The 17527-nt window shown below is 41.5% G+C and overlaps 1 protein-coding gene across 2 annotated transcripts in view, besides 1 other annotated feature; it reads right to left on the bottom strand.

Moving 5' to 3' along the window:
- TMEM236 (transmembrane protein 236) overlaps window positions 1–17527 on the bottom strand; it is a 48668-nt gene that overhangs the window by 7021 nt on the left and 24120 nt on the right. The gene's annotated exons all lie outside the window — the stretch shown is intronic.
- Window positions 5871–6488: an enhancer, noted in NCBI's record as "H3K27ac-H3K4me1 hESC enhancer chr10:17829359-17829976 (GRCh37/hg19 assembly coordinates)". NCBI's record gives its function as "activates a minimal SCP1, AML or CMV promoter by ChIP-STARR-seq in primed H9 embryonic stem cells {active_cell/tissue: H9 hESC(primed)}" and the evidence as "EXISTENCE:reporter gene assay evidence [ECO:0000049][PMID:30033119]".

Genomic DNA, 17527 nt, shown 5'->3' with positions numbered 1-17527 from the left:
TTTTTAAACTCAGATGCTCATTTGTATCCATTGCACCTCTTATGTTATTTAAAAAATTAATATAGAGCCAGGCGTGATGGCTCACGCCTGTAATCCCAGCAGTTTGGGAGGCTGAGGCAGATGGATCACCTGAGTTCAGAAGTTCGAGACCAGCCTGGCCAATGGTGAAACCCATTTCTACTAAAAATACAAAAAAAATAGCTGGGAGTGGTGGTGGGCACCTGGAATCCCAGCTACTCTGGTGGCTGAGGCATGAGAATTGCTTGAACCCGGTAGGAGGAGGTTGCAGTGAGCTAAGATCGCACCACTGCACTCCAGCCTGGGTGACAAGTGAGACTCCATCTCAAAAAATAAAATAAATAAAAATGAATTTAAAAATCAATATAGAAAATATTGCCTTATAATATGTCATGTCCTAGAGAACTTTTGTTCCCCTCTCTTGGTAGGTGAAACTGTCATAATGAAAATCCCAATGGCTTTGTCAACATTCAGAACACAGTGTATAATTTGGGCTTTTGAGAGATGATTGCAAATTCAGCATTGTTTCAAAGCCAGGAAGTGGAAACCCCAAAAGTGACACATTAACATTTTTTTAAACAGTCAGGGAGAGTCTTAACATTTCAGATGCTAAGAGCAGCTGCTATGAACAATGAATTCTTAGCTGGAGTTTGGTTTTAATGAGATACATGTGTATGTGGTGAGATTAGGTCTGTGAACTTCATATCTCTCCACAGCTCAAATTAAATTAGGGGGTACAGGGACTCTGCTTCCTCTTTTCAAGTAAGAAGTACTAGAACTATTAGCTGGAAAGCTTTGATGGCCTCCCAGAGGGCTGGGGAGAGTTAACAAAGCTGAGAAACCTTTTGGTCATTGGAGGGGACCAGCAAGCACATCTCGGAGCAAAGTACAGGGTCATGGATTTGATACTATTCCCTTTAGCTCCAGGGTGAGTTTTCTCTCCAAATAAGTACTTTCTAAATGTCCACTTAGAGCTGGAATTCTTTTTCCCATTGTTGTTAGTTGTTATTTGTTCTGTTTGGGTAAAACAATATTCATTGGTGCAAAATCTATAGAAGATATAAGCATAAAGAGAGAGCTCTCCTCACCTCCTGAGAGGCTCACATGGCCCTGTAAAAAGTAAAACTAGCAGCCTTTTGATCTAGTTTCCCACATCTGATTCTAGTTGCTGAAACGACTTTTGGTCGTCACTGTGTAAGCTAAATGACCAAGAAAATGTCATTTTGTTAGCAGACAAGAGGCTAAGTAGGCAACTGTTACATACTTTACTTAGTTGTTTATTTATGGATTTATTTTTACCTCTAACTTGTTCTCCAAAAGTTTTTAACACCTAACGTAAAACAAAGGCACATGATAACAATTCAGTAGTGAGGCATTTTCTAGAGTGTTCATTTCTCTTGCAAAGAGAACAGGAAAACAATATGTTATCTAAATAAAAACAGAGGCAGGTACGGTGGCTTACGCCTGTAATCCCAGCACTTTGGGAGGCTGAAACAGGGGGATCGCTTGAGGCCAGGACATCCAGATCAACCTGGCTAACGTGGTGAAACCCATCCCTACTAAAAATACACAACATTAGCCGGGCACATTGGTGCACGTGTGTAATCCCTGCTACTCAGGAGGCTGAGGCAGGAAAATTACTTGAACCCAGGAGATGGAGGTTGCAGTGAGCCGAGATTGCACCACTGCACTCCAGCTTAGGTGACAGAGCAAGACTCCATCTCAAATAATTAATTAATTAATTAAAGAGGAAGAAAAGAAAAAAGAATCACAAAGAAAAGGCACCTAAAAACATCCAGGAAGAAAGCTAATGCTAAAAATGCATTCATTAGACTCCCAACTGCCTGTAATGAGCAAATATGAGAGTGCCGTACCAAGCCTGGGCTAGACAGACGTTGGCAAATGGCATCCCAAATAGCACAGAAGTAGCTCATAGCTTCATGACTGTGAGTCTCCTGCAATCACACCAATAAATATAGAATAATAAATGGTGGCTGGGCTTTAAAGGAAAGTAAATTCTGTGATGAGAGATAATCAAAGGGGATTCAATGGGGAGTCAAAGGAGGCTCGTCTGAGACCTGACAGTTAAGCAGAGATAGTAAGAATGAGTAGGAATTGATTCAGTGAAGAATGGAGAAAAGAACTTGCAGGTAGTAGAAATGGCCTGTGTAAATATCCTTCAGCTAGCAGGAACTGAAAGAAAGGAGTTTGGTGAGAGGTGGGGGATGCAGAGAGGAAGTGGGAGAGGAAAAGAGCTGGTGACTATTAAGAACTTTGTACGTATCAGGCACTTTTCCAAGCCCTTTATATGCTTTAACTCACTTATTAAAACCCTATGGTTTTCCCATTTTATGTCACTTTACGTTATTTTAGAGACAGCGTCTTGCTCTGTTGCCCAGACCGGAGTACAGTGGCACAATCATAGCGCACTACAGCCTCCAACTCTCAGACTCAAGCGATCCTCCTGCCTCAGCCTCCCAAATAGCTGGGACTACAGGCTTGCACCACCACACCTGACTAATTTTTTTTTTTTTTTTTACTTTTTATAGAGACACGGATGACTTGCTATGTTGTCTAGGCTGGTCTCAAATTCCTGGACCCAAGTGATCCTCCTGCCTCAGCCTCCCAACGCACCAAATTACAGGCATGGGCCACTGCATGCAGCCTATTTTCCCATTTTAATGATGAGTAAACTGAGGCACAGAGAGATTATGCACTATTTCCAAGGTCACACAGCTAGCAAGTAGAAAGACCAGAACTTGAGTCCCAAACCCTTAACTGTTGTACCACACTGTCTGTGGCAGAGACAGATTATAGAGAGTCTTATGGTCCAGGATAAAAGTTTTGGATTTTATTCTAAGTTTATTAGGTTGTTGCAAAAGTAGCAACTTAGAGGCGAATGTGAGGCAGTAGAATGAAGACACAGAAGTCAGCAGAGGCAGCTGATGTGCAAAGAGATTGTTACCCAATTCACAGCAGCCAAAACATAATTACTCAGAAACAAATATGGCTAGTCTTAGGGTAATCCCCCAAATCTATTTCTCCCAAGGGGAAAATGGTTAGAGGAATCTAAAAATGAATGATTTAGGCATAACACTGAGAAAAATATATGGAGCAGAAGAAAATTACCAGTCCTTTTAAAATGATTTTTGAAAAAACATTCGGCACACAAAGCAGTGGTAGTCATAATAATTTCAGAGGACAAAGGGAAAAAGGCAATAAATTAAAATACACTTCAAGGTAAATTAGAAACACTGTTATTTATTTCTTTATTCATTTATTTATTTACTTTAGAGACATGGTCTCACTCTGTTGCCACAATCATAGCTCACTGCAGCCTCAAGCTTCTGGGCTCAAGCGATCCTCCTGCCCCAGCCTCCCAACTATCTGGGACTACAGGCTCACTCATTCATCCATTCGTTTATTCCCTGTCTCAAACACTTACAATGTCTAAGATACTGTACTAGGAATTGTGGAAGACGCAACAATCAATAGGTATGATTCTCACCCTTCTAGCAGCTTCCATTCAAATACAGCACTCTGAACTAAACCTTAGAAAGCAGAACTTCAGCTTCATCATTTATTTATTTATTTATTATTTTTGAGACTGCGTCTTTCTCTACCCAGAGTGGAGTGCAGTGGTACAATCCTGGCTCATTGCAGCTTTGATGTCCTGGGCAAACGCGATCCTCCCACCTCAGAATCCCAAGTAGCTGGGACTACAGGCATGCGCTATGACGCCTGGCTCATTTTTTTGTTTTGTTTTGTTCGTTTTTTGTTTTTTTGTTTTATTCTTTTCTTTTTTTGAGACGGAGTCCCGCTCTGTCGCCCAGGCTGGAGTGCCATGGCGCGATCTTGAATCACTGCAAGCTCCGCCTCCCGGGTTCATGCCTTTCTTCTGCCTCAGCCTCCCGAGTAGCTGGGACTACAGGCGCCCGCCCCCACGCCCGGCTAATTTTTTTTTGTATTTTTAGTAGAGATGGGGTTTCACCATGTTAGCCAGGATGGTCTCAATCTCCTGACCTCGGGATCCTCCTCCTAGGCCTCCCAGAGTGCTGCGATTACAGGCGTGAGCCACCGTGCCCGGCCCTGGCTCATTTTTTAATTTTTTGTAGAGATGGAGATCTCACTATGTTGCCCAGGCTGGTCTTGAACACCTGGCCTCAAGCGATCCTTCTGCCTCAGCCTCCCAACGCACTGGAATTACAAGCATGAGCCTCCACACCCAGCTAAACACTGTTATTTTGACATACTCTCACTGAGGTAGGGAAGACAAGTAATATTGCCAAGCAATAAATGATGAAATGGGACATCAACCTCACAGTGAAGGAATTCGTCAGCATCTGTAAAGCACTTAAAAATAGTGTTTGGCATATAGAATGGTCATGTATGTGTTAAATAAATAAAAAGTAGCAATAGTGAAATAATTAATTGTTTTAAATTAATTGGGACAGAATAGAATATATTAGGTTGCAGTAAATAGTAAGAGTGACTATAATTTGTTTAACTTTGGCTATAGTTACACTATAACTCATTATCTGGTATATCAGGGGAGGTCACAAGTTAGAGAAAGACTGTCACACTACAGAGACTAAACAAGATCATGAGTTTCTTATATTTGCCTGTTCACATCACAAAGAAAAATGCTACCCTACAGATATAACCTACACAGGTGAAGGCAGCTTACACCAGCTAACAAGAGTCTCTTGTGTGTATCTCTTCCTAATTCCATTATCAGTGTTCAGTGATACCACCTTGGTAGCTTGAAATCGGTCATAGTGGGAGAATTTACACCACAGACACTGGCAAATGTTACAAATCAGGACTTCCCCACTCCTCAACCCCACTCCACAAAGGCAACTGATTAAACACTGACCAGTATACTACTACTGCCTGTGCTCAAAACTGTGTACAAGTTTTCAACAAATAATAATGAATTCAAGACAAATATTCAACCCGTCATCAGCTCTGGAAAAGCCTGTGGGCATGCATTCCCAGCTGTGAAATAGTTGCGGCAACTTTCTTTACAGAAAGCATGAGATTGTTGTCCAGTAAATTCAAAAACCCTAAGATCCCATTTCAGTTCCATGCCACTCATTGTGTAAATCTGACAATAAATAAATGTATCATTTCTGTATCTTATACAATATAAAATGTTAAGAGAATTATTTTGTCAGAGGACACAACTAGAAAGCTAGGTGGTTTAAAATTTTTTAACTTTTTTTTTTTCTTTTTTTTTTTTGTAGAGATGGGGTCTTGCTATGTTACTCAGGCTGGTCTTGAACTCCTGGGCTGAAGCAACCCTCCCACCTCAACCTCCCAAAGTGCTGGGATTACAGGTGTGAGCCACCATGCCCAGCCCACTGGATGGTTTAGAGATCATTTTTCCCTCTACTGCTGCTTTACAGACTTATCTAACACTCGACAAGTGTTGCTAAAATCTTAATATTATCAATTTTTAAATATTCCATTTTTAAATATTGAAAAAATGTTCCAATCTAAAATTCCTAATCTTCAGCTTTTCATTCATATTGTGGTCCTTCTCCCCAAGAGATATATGGTTAGACTAGAAAATGTTATTTAATTTACAATATATTTTATACAAAAGTAATTATATTATTTATGTTACTTATAATGATATATATTTCTAGATATATTTTACTCAAAATATCTAATATATAAATAAATTCATGCTGAATTCTTCATGTTCTGTTATTCTTATCAATGTTCCTGAAACATTTATTTATTTTATAATATATATAAAAATAATATACCATTGAATATGTTTAAAAATATATACATAGTAAGGTAGAATGTCAAGGTGCATATAGTTATCTCATTGCCAAAGAGAAATAATCCTATACTTTGAAATGGTCTGAAATGCCTCTACCCGTATTTCCTCCTTTATTCCAAATACTCAGGAGTTTTAAGTGCTTGGATACAGACATGAGCTAGCAATCCCAGCAGGAGTGGATGACAGAAACTGATGCATAATGGATTAAACCTGAGTCATTGCATTCTTAAGAACCTCCGTCAGCCTGGTTTATGCATATTTACTAGTGTAGTTTAAGAGCCCTGGAGCGTCTAGACCAGGAGCTCCGCAAAAGGCAGCCTCGCCTGTTTCTGCTCAGCTTTGTACCCCCAGCACCAGTGGAGTGCCTGGTATTGATATGGAACAGATCCACCATAAAGATTTGCTGAATAAAAGGTGGGAGGAATTTCTTTTCTGGAATCTATTAGCATGAGGGAGCAATGAGCATTCTGGGGAAAAAACCTGCACTAAGGCAAGGAAGCCAAAGCATGAAAGCTCGGCCCAGCCATTGACTCTGGTTCCCGTAGAGTCAATGGGTAAAAAATGTGGAGCTCTGCACAGAGTCTACCACTCAGATGCCCCTATGGCCCAGTCCTGGAGGGAGCCCCTTAAGCAAGGCCATGACGATTGATTCCACTAACATACCCTGGAAGACATGGGGAGCACCTGGCAGCACAGGCTGGGGACCGGCAACACTAAGGGGACTTAGCTCAACACTAAGAGAGGATGTAATGCGACATCAGGCCCCACAGAGGGTGCCAGCGCTGTCTGGCATGGCACAGTCCACAGTGCTTGGGCAGACAGTTGGCACCAACAGCAGCAGCAGTGCTTCAAAGCATGCCAGAGACCATCCAGGCACCAGTAGCGTCAGGGGTCACCAGGCAGGGGGAAGAAAGGGCATGTATTAGTCCGTTTTCATGCTGCTGATAAAGACCTACCCAAGACTGGGAAGAAAAGGAGGTTTAATTGGACTTACAGTTCCACATGGCTGGGGAGGTCTCACAATCATGGCAGAGGGTGAAAGGCATTTCTTCCATGGCGGCAGCAAGAGAGAATGAAGAAGATGCAAAAGCGGAAACCCCTGATAAACCCATCAGATCTCATAAGGCTTATTCACTATCACGAGAATAGCATGGGAAAGACAGGTATTTATTTACTGTCAGGTTTACCTATGATTCAATTACCTCCCCCTGGGACCCTCCCACAACATGTGAGAATTCTGGGAGATACAATTCAAGTTGAGATTTGGGTGGCGACACAGCCAAACCATATCAGGGCAGATGTGTAATTTCAAGAAGATCATGTTTGTGATCTCATAGGAAGAAGCCCTGAGAACCCTCCAGTCCCCCCACCTATGCACACACATCCAGAAACAGAAGGACTTAAGGTCCCAAAATAGCAAGTGGAAGCAGAACATGAGAAAAGCGGTGTTCTTCTAGATAGGACCTTACTATTAGTATACACACAATATCAACAACAAATGATCAAGAACATCAGCTGAGCCAGGGGCTCATGCTTGTAATCTCAGCACTTTGGGAAGCCGAGGCAGGAGGATCACTTGAGCTCAGGAGGTCGAGGCTGCAGTGCACTGTGATCGTGGCACTGCCCTCCAGCATGGACAACAGAATGAGACATTGTCTCAAAAAACAGAAGAGAAAAAGAACATCCACACATTATGCAGGTGATCAGCTCTCTTTGACCTAAGATATGAAAATGTAAATATTGAAAATCAGTGACCTATGCCTTTAATGTCAAACTGGTCCATAATAATATGGAACACAAGGCTTGGTATTATAAAGTAACACATGCTGAATTCTTTTATTCCCTTATTCCTATCAGTCTCCCTGAAATATTTGTTTCCAAAGTATTCTGCGACTTGCAAGTGTCTCATTTAATATACTAAAATTATTCACAATTCTTTTGCCCACTTAGGAAAAACAAACAATTTAATGCCAAATTATTAAAATCATATAAAGCTGTCAAGATCAAAGGGAGCTTTCACTGAAAATTTTGATAGCACCTGACATTCTATGTCTGTTGGTACCCGGCTCACTCCAGTATAGCTTTTGGCCCAATCTCATGGGTCTAATCCAGACAGCTGGCACTTCATTAGAAGATATAAATCAGAAATCCTACCCTTCTCTTACCCCAGTCTAGTAGATGCCCACTTACTTCTTGAGAAGAGGAAAAAAAATCCTAGAACTAACATACTTTCCTGAAACTTCCTTCTTCTAAGTAGCAAAGGGAGGGTAGGAAAGGAAATATCCCCCCCCGGTTGGTCCCCGGACACAGTGTTCCTCATAGTCACCCCTGAGCACATTGCAAAACAACACATTATGGAAATTCAGCTCGCACTAGGGGCTCATCTTGTATAATAAGCTATTTCTTAAAAAGAACTAAAGAGGAACTCAAAATGCCATTCATTTTATTAAAAAAAAAAGCTACATCCTTTTTTTGTTTGTTTGTTTCCTTTTAATGTCTATGACATCTCTTACATGCTATTTGGTAAAAGTGTCATGAGTTACATTTCAAGGAAATTTGGAAAGCCAGTTCCCTTTAAGAATTTGGATTGGCCTGTGCTTGGATTGGCCTCTCTGCTTTTAACTTGATATTTATGACAGCTCCTAGCACTTTCTATAGTAAGAGGTTCTCAGAGTGGGCATCATAATCTATGGCGGAGCTTTAAAAAATTACAGATGCCAGGTTCTGTCTTCCAGTCTGTTGATCGCTAGGTAGAGCTCATGCATATGTATAGTGAAGACACGTTGATGATCTCTGGTGGAAACCCACGGCTAAGAGTCCCTGTATTTGTGATAACCAGTGGCCCCCGATTCAATGGCAATAGCTTAGACTTTCCATAAAAATTACTGTTGGCATTCATTTTCAGAAATTATATTCTGGTAAGTCAATACCAAGAAGAAATAACTCAGAAAGAAACAGTTCCTTTTCCTTCTTCCTTCCTGCTCTGCGAACTCCCAAATCTGGGTCAGTCCTAACGCTTCTATCTTTTCAACCTGCAAGGCCCAGATTTCTGAGCCTCAGTGAGGAAAAAAATCACATTATCTGGATTGGCCCCAGAACAAATTCCTGGTTCCAATTTCTGCTGCACACTCAACATTACTCATCCATCTGTCTCCCTATCCCTCGCCCACTTCATCTCCATTCCCCACAGCAGTTACCCCAGAGCTTCCCCATTCTTTTGGGTCCTCTCCCCTCTATCCATCTCCATTGTTCTCAGCAGAAAATTTGCTTCCTATTTCATGAAGAAATTGGGGCATTATCTGATGTAAATTCCCCTTGCTTGCTTTCTCCCTATCCACTCCTATTATTTTCCCAATTGTGAATCACCTGGGAATCACTAATTTTAAAAATTAGTAGTGCCTGGGCCTCACTCCAAAAATTATGATTTCATTAACCAGGCAGCATCCTAGGCATCAAAACTTTTAAATTTCCATAGTTGATTTTAATGTACAGCCAAGGATGAGAAGCACTGCTCTTAATTAGAGATATAAATCAGGGTCACTCAATGAGGTTTCCTTTTTTAAAATCCAAATATGCCTAATCCCATCCCCAGAGATCCTGATTCAGTTCATCTGGGGCAGCTGTGCTTGGCACTGATATTTTTAAAGCACTCTATTAAGTGCTTTTTTATATGTTGGAAACACCAGAAGAAATACAATAGAATCAGAAGTCTAAAAACTTTGCCAGCTCAGGTAAATAAACATGTTGACTATCTTGTCTAACTTATTGGTTATTTATAAATTAACCAACTTGTATCCTATAGAGAATTCAATTTTTCTTCATTAAACATTTAAATGTAAACTGCTTCGGGAAAATAATTGGTAAATAATTTTTACTTGTAGTGAAAAAAAGACTTTTTAAGCATAACTACACCATACAGAAATACTAATAGCTTGGATGACATCAAAATTTAAAATTCCCTATATGAAAAACACCATAGTAAAATTAAAAGGCAAATGAGAACCCTGAAACATACACTACACCTATGACAGGCAAAACTTAACAGCCTTACTATTTATAGAACTCATGAATCAGCAGGAAAAAAAAAGGAAGTAGAAGAAGAAAATAAAAGAAAAATGGCCATACCAACATAAAAACAGATCAAAGACCTAAATATATGATTTAAAAGAAAAATACAACTGGCCAATAAGCCTATGAGAAGAGGGCAAACACAACTACAACTACTACTATTTTGCCTACGATACTATTTTGCAAGAGAGGAAATGGAATAAATTTCCAGTGTTGCAAGGTTGTAAGGTTAAGGAGAAACAGGTATTTCTTTACGTTGCTATTTAGAGGGTAAGTTCTTTAGAGGGAGCAATTTAACTACACATATCAAAAACCTTAAAAGCTTGCACGGACTGTGAGCCGGAAGTTCTGCATCTGAACATTTGACCTAAGGAAATAGCCATCTATGCTGCTGAGGTGCCTGCAGGCACTGACTCAAGTTTCTGATATTAAAAGACCACACAGAAGGCATTGGACGAGGGCCATTGGGAGCAGATTTATTTGAAAACCTTACCCTGCCAACATCATACCGGGCACCTCTCGCTGATGTGATAGTGGAAACCGCCTCCTTTGCAGGGAGCTGAGGTTTTCCACTCAAATAGCCTGTTGACCTCACCTCTAGCCAGCCATCTCTGACCATGCGGCTCTCCCTAATGCAGCCAAACCCCTCTTGCCACACCGCACAGTACATACGATCCCATTACGGGCCCCTCGACATTCCCAGCCTGTGTAACCAGTCCCTAGTAGTCACTTTCTTCTGGCAGTGTTCTTGCTGAGGAGTCTGGGCATGAGCAGATGCTCCAGGCCTTCTGAGGACACTCTGCAATCATCATCCTGATATCATTCGGCTCCCATCCAGAGGCAGTTAACTCTCTCCATCCCCAGCTTCTGTTTTGCCAGTCACCTCACTGAGAGGTTTCTGACTCCCACACGGAGCACAGGGCGCTTTAAACACAGCCCACCTGCACTACACATGGACACGTGCTTTAACCATGACTTGTCTGCCCTGTCCAACTCAAGCACATCGCCTCAGGCATTCTAACCATATCCTTGTCCTTCTCAACCCTTTTACTTCTGAATGAGACTCATAACAGCAGGATTTATCATAGTTAAAAACTGGAACAAATCTAGTTGTTCAACAACTGGGGATCTGCTAGATATATTATCATGGCTCATTAACATAATGGAATATAATTTGACCAATAACACCTTCTACACAGTAGAAGATGTAATAATGAGGCCTGGCGCGGTGGCTCACACCTGTAATCCCAGCACTTTGGGAGGTGAGGCGGGTGGATCATTTGAGGTCAGGAGTTGAAGACCAGCCTGGCCAACACGGTGAAATCCCGTCTCTACTAAAAATACAAAAATTAGAGGGACGTGGTGGTGCACGGCTGTAGTCCCAGCTACTCGGGAGGCTGAGGCACGAGAATCGCTTAAGCCCAGGACCAGAGATTGCAGTGAGCAGAGATCATGCCACTGCACTCCAACCTGAGCAACAGAGTGAGACTGTCTCAAAATGAAACAAAATAAAACAAAAAGAAGATGTAATAATGAGAATGATGCCCACCATACATTAAGAAAAAAAGAAGAGTTGCAGAATAGGTTTTCTTAACACATGAATGTACATCAAGATGCTATCCAGTAACAAATTTCTAGTTTGTAGGGTTATGGTTGGTTTACCTTTTCTTTTTTGTTTATCTCTATTTTATAACTTTTTAAAATGAGTATGTGTTCTTTTGGAAAAATGCAACATTGGAAAGAAAAAATTCAACATGGCATGTTAAAAGGTTTATCTGTTTTTCAAAGGTGTTGAGCCTCAAGCCAGTTTGTACCCCACCAAGACGGGTCACTCTGCCTACAAAGCTGAAACTGCCCAGAGCAGCAGCAGTAGTCACAAGACCTTAGATGGGGGCTCACTTTGCCTCTAGGTGGTGCAGTCATGATTGCCAGGGAGCTGGGCCTGGAGAGAGAGTTGGCAACCTATCTATCTCTTCATAGAAATGGTAGTGTCCTAGAAACAGGTGCGGTTACAATGCTGAATGAAGCCCTAGGTTAATGATTTTTAAACATTTAGCAGAGGAAGCTTTTTTTTCCCCCAAATGAAATCTCACATAAAACATCAACTCTTAAACACACAAAAATATTGTTGATCATGATGAAGCTCTCCCTTCTCCCAAACACACACATACAACACACACACGCATGCAAATTTTCTTTCCTTTTTTTTTTTTTTTTTTTTTGAGACAGAGGTATGTTCTATCACCCAGGCTGGAGTGCAGTGGTACCATCTCAGCTCACTGCAATCTCCGCCTCCTGGGTTCAAGCGATTCTTCTGCCTCAGCCTCCCCAGTAGCTGGTATTACAGGCGCATGCCACCACGGCCAACCAATTTTTATATTTTTAGTAGAAACGGGGTTTCACCATGTTGGCCAGGCTGGTCTCAAACTCCTGACCTCAGGTGATCCCCCCCACCCCCAACCTCAGCCCCACAAAGTGCTGGGATTACAGGCGTGAGCCACCACGCCGGGCTGCATGCAAATTTTTAGTCACTCTTGAAGTAACATTGTAGGTTTCTGAAATGACAATTTGATGAACAGTAGTCAGTTTTAAGAAGGAAACTTGCCTCCCAGCACCAGGTTTGTTGATTCAAGGTGTGAAATCCAACCAAGCTTAATTTTGATATAGGAGTTAAGAAGAAATTATTTAGGCAGATATGAGGGTACGGGAGTCCTTGGTAAGGTTTTCCTTTTAATGAAAAGCACTCCCAAATCATTTTCTAACAAACAGCAGCCTGTAAAATCGAGCTGCAGACACAGACAAGCAAGCTGGAAGCGTGTACAGGTGAATGCTGGCAGCTGTGCCAATAGGAAAAGGCCACCTGGGACTAGGCATGGTCAAAATGGTGGCTCCATCTTCCCTTCTCTTTGCCAGCTGCATGTACAGTGAGGAGCAGGCAACATGGCACCAGCCAAGTGGAAAGTCCATTTGCATAATAAGATTACGGTGGGGTGACCAGCCTTTTCTGGGTGCTATGTAAACATCACACCCAGTCCAACCAATCTCTGAGCCCTATGTAAATCAGACACCACCTCCTAAAGCCTGTCTATAAAACCCGGTGCACTCTGTCATGGCTGGAATTCCCATTTAGGAGCCCCTCTGTCTCGAAAGAGAGAGAGCTGCTCTCCTTTCTTTCTTTTGTCTATTAAACCTCCGCTCCTAAACTCACTCCTTGTGTGTGTCCATGTCCTTAATCTTCTTGGCACAAGATGACGAACCTTGGGTATCTACCCCAGACAACAACACTGCTTCATTTTCACTTCCCAAACATGGCCATTTGCTACATACACGCCTTAGTTCTTGGAGGCCCAACCTTTCTTCTATGTAGAAAGCTTTCTTTACCATGTCTACCTACAAACTCCTGCAAACCCAAGATCTTCCCTTTAGTCTTCTCTTACCTTCATCACCTTAGATAAAATGAAGTTTTCCTTCATCTGTGGCACCATAGTACTTTAGCTATTAAAATCTATTGTAGCACTTTGTAACAGCATGTCTGGCCTGGGCTGCAAGTCCTATTCAAATGAGTCTTGAAGGTAGGACTGAAAACTCTCTCTCTAATCATGGACACTTTCATAGGTCTGTTTGCACCCACTGGTTTTGATGGGGGTTAAGGAATCTAGGTAGTGACAAGGAGAGGACTCTAACGATGGCAAGGATTGAGGTTCAGGCAATATAGCTAAGCCTGATTTGAGGATCTATGAGACCCCCATGGAGAAAAGCTGCCTCAAAGGAGTCTGGCTCTGCCACATTCAGCCACGAGTTCTATAAGTGGGAGGGGAAATGGTGGTTTCCAGGGGAGTAGAATGGCCACTACCTGAAATCACTGAAGCCCAGCCAATTTGTTGGTACATATACACTCTAAGGGCTAAAAGGCTGTTGTTTCCAAGAAAAAAACAGTTATTATAGTGCTCTGCCTGAAACCTCTTTAGAAAACTAGAACTCGGTGGCAGGAAGCCAATATTCCCACTAGCAGAAGAAAGGAAGTCAGTCTAAAGCACCAGCAAAACATCCACCAATATCCCAGACACAAGCAACAGCAGCACCAACAGCATTTAGAGCAGAGCCGAGCAGGAGTGGTAGAAAATAGCATGCTGAGGGGTTTGCACGTGAGAGTGAAAAGCTGAGTGCAAAGCAGATGCAGCAAGGTAGTCAGGGGTCTGGACCAACAAATAAGGGCACAGGAGACCCACTGTGGGTCTGGTTTAAAACAGCAGCAGCAGGTGGACACGGTGGCTCATGCCTATAAACCCAGTGCTTTGGGAAGCTGTGGCAAGCAGATCACTTGAGGTCAGGAGTTCAAGACCAGCCTGGCCAACAGGGTGAAACCCCATCTCTACTAAAAATACAAAAATTAGCCAGGCATGGTGGTGCCCTCCTGTATTCCCAGCTACTTGGGAGGCTGAGGCAGGAGGATCAAGACTCTGTCTCAAAAAATTAATTAATTAACTAATTAATTAAATGGGAGCAGAAAAAAGACAGTGAAGAAGAGGAGATGAAAGTCCTCTTCTTTACTGTTGAGCCTCAAACCAGTGTGTACCCCACCAAGATGGGTCACTCTGCCTACAAAGCTGAAATTGCCCAGAGCAGCAGCAGCAATCACAAGACCTTAGATGGGGGCTCACTTTGCTTCTAGGTGGTTCAAGGTCATGATTGCCAGGGAGCTGGGCCTGGAGTGAGAGCTGGCAACCTATCTATCTCTCCGTAAAAATGGTAATGTCCTAGAAACAGGTATGGTTGCAATGCTAAATGAGCGTTAATACATGGGATTCAGTTAGCAAAATTCAAATGGAAGCATTAAGGTGCGCTCATTTGTACCCACAGGCTATCCTTTGTATTCTTGTTATTTCTGCACGGGACTGGGGATTGGCATTCCTAGGTACCACGTACATCTGTGAGACTGCCGTGCTACAGAGATCCACGCGTCAGAAAAATGCTCCCATGCACTGCTCTACCTCCATGAAACGATGCACTTAGAAGCTGTTGCATGATAATTACTTGATACTGAGAGATTTCCACTGGTAATACGAAGTTAGTAGAAAGGATTCCTTGGTCCGGTGAAGACTGCTTTAAGCATAAGCATATTTTGTCAGCAGAATAACTTATTTAAAATTTTGGAAAAAGAAAAGCTACACAAAGATAAAAGTTTTGTAGCTTGGAATGAAGATGGTTAGGATGCTGTGAGAGTGTCCATAAATCAAAACGTTGTAGATTATGTTGGTTTCATCTAGCATAAAGTCCAAACTGCTGCTAGCTGACAGACATGTATGCATTTCAGACTATCTGGAAAGAGCAAAGAACATATTCACTTTTCCCACATTTCCTAAAGGGAGCCAAATTATTCTAGATCTTGTTCATCCCCCGCCTCTAGTCAATTTTTTTTACTTGCAAGTATCACCTGTAGTGAAACCATATTTATGGTATATTTGCTTAGGTTCAGATTTATGTATTTAAGATTTACATGTTAATGTATTCATATATTAATTCATGTTCCAAGTAATAAATGAGAAAACCTCATGGATTCAAAATTTACATAATTTATATCATTAATTTCATGTTAAAATGAGTGTAGGAGACAATTTGGGTTCAAGGTCTTTGCATACAAATTAAAAGCATGTATGATTCATATTTACAAAGGCATTTCAAGTGACTGCTAGTTTTTTTAAGTGTGAATTTATTAAACGGTGGAACTATCAAACCAGACACTAATCTTCCTAAATTTGGACGGAGAACAGCTCAAGAAGGAGGCTCTTCAAGTGAGAAGCAGTTGTACAAATTGTGCTAGAGTCTTCTCCCCCAGATCTACTTCTTCTTTAGATGTCTTATTTCAATTCTCAGTGTCATTATTGAAGTTATGGATGCAAGGAAATTCCCCTTTAAAAACCCAACTAATGGCCAGCCACGGTGGCTCACACCTGTAATCCCAGCACTTTGGGAGGCCCAGGTGGGTGGATCACCTGAGGTCAGGAGTTCGAGACCAGCCTGGCCAACATGATGAAACCCTGTCTCTACTAAAAATACAAAAATTAGCCACGCATGGTGGCACATGCCTGCAATCCCAGCTACTCGGGAGGCTGAGGCAGGAGAATTGCTTAAACCCAGGAGGCAGAGGTTGCAGCGAGCAGAGGTCATGCCGCTGCATTCCAGAGCAAGACTCCGTCTCAAAAACAAAACAAAACAAAACAAAAAAACAACTCATCACTAACAAAAATAAAATGTTATTAACTTATTCCCAAAAAGATACACGTGTCTTTCTTTTTTAAAAAGACCTTTTAACTTGGACAGGAAATTTATATTAATATGGAAAATACAGAGTCATCAGAAACCATCCAATTTAACGCTGGGTGCAGCCGTGCACAGCTAGAATCCCAGCTACTCAGGAGGCTGATGCAGGAGGATCTCCTGAGCTCAAGAACTCTAGGTCAGCCTAGGCAACATAGCAAGACCCCAGCTCAAATTGAAAAAAAAATTATATTTAAAAATAGATTTGCATTTTTAAGGAATCTAGAGATGTAGCAAAGGATTTGGAGATTCCCAACTCTCCTGAGTTTAAGACAAATACGCTTGACTCTGGAGGGCAGATGTGACTTGGGTGTGCTTTCCACTCAACAGATGGCCCCGGCTGCCATCTTATCCACCTACATGTCACCTGTGTTATGTTAGCCATAACAGACCGTCATCTCCCACCCGAGGATGAAGTACAAAGTGACAGGCTCAGATTCTCCAACTTCCTAGTGGCCTCCACCTCAGTTTTGCTTTCCATCTGAGCAGCAAGAGTGACTGGAAGGTACTGATATCTGACCCATAAATGACTGACGAGCCCCAGTGGTGACCCCGTCACTCTGAAGCTGTCTCCTGAGGCTCACTCAGTTGACTCCATTCACCCCATCAGAAAACAACCTGACAAACCTTACCCATTTCAAATGCACAACATGACAAAATCTTAGCCACACAGTAACTAGCATACAAATATTGCCAATTAAACACAGATACTACCGCAAGAAATTTAATGAAAGCTGGAGTAATTTACGACTAAATAAATAAAATATTCCATTAACAAAATATCTTTTTGTAAGGGCCAATCTGTATTTAGTTTCAACTCATCACTTTGGAGGAGATGTGACACATCTTGTTGAGTTTTCTTTAAATTTTATTTTTTTATAGGGATGGTGTCTTGCTATGTTGCTCAGGCTGGTCTCAAACTCCTGAGCTCATGCCATCTTCCCATCCTGGCCTCCAAAAATGCTGGGATTACAGGTGTGAGCCACTGCACCCAGCCATATCTTGGTTTTATTAGTGTGATCTTTGGCATTTTTATAATTCACAATTAAAAACACATGATTATCTAGGACACAACTACCACAGTCATATTAATTCCTGTAGTAAAAGTCTCCAAACTAAGCTTTTTATTAATCCATTTAAACATAAGCTTTAAGAGACTTCCTAGAAAAATATACATCTATAATAATTTACTTGGATAATTTCTTGCTGGAATAAACATTAAGGTTTTTGGTATTAACTATTTGATAATTTTTAATTTATCAGTACTACTAAAATGCGAATAGCAAACAAAAGCAGCTATCTAGCTATCAAGGTAGGTTTAAAAATAAT

This window comes from Homo sapiens, chromosome 10 (assembly GCF_000001405.40).
Source record: "Homo sapiens chromosome 10, GRCh38.p14 Primary Assembly".
NCBI classification, from domain to species: Eukaryota; Metazoa; Chordata; class Mammalia; order Primates; family Hominidae; genus Homo; species Homo sapiens.
This window is presented reverse-complemented; position numbering and strand designations above follow the sequence as displayed.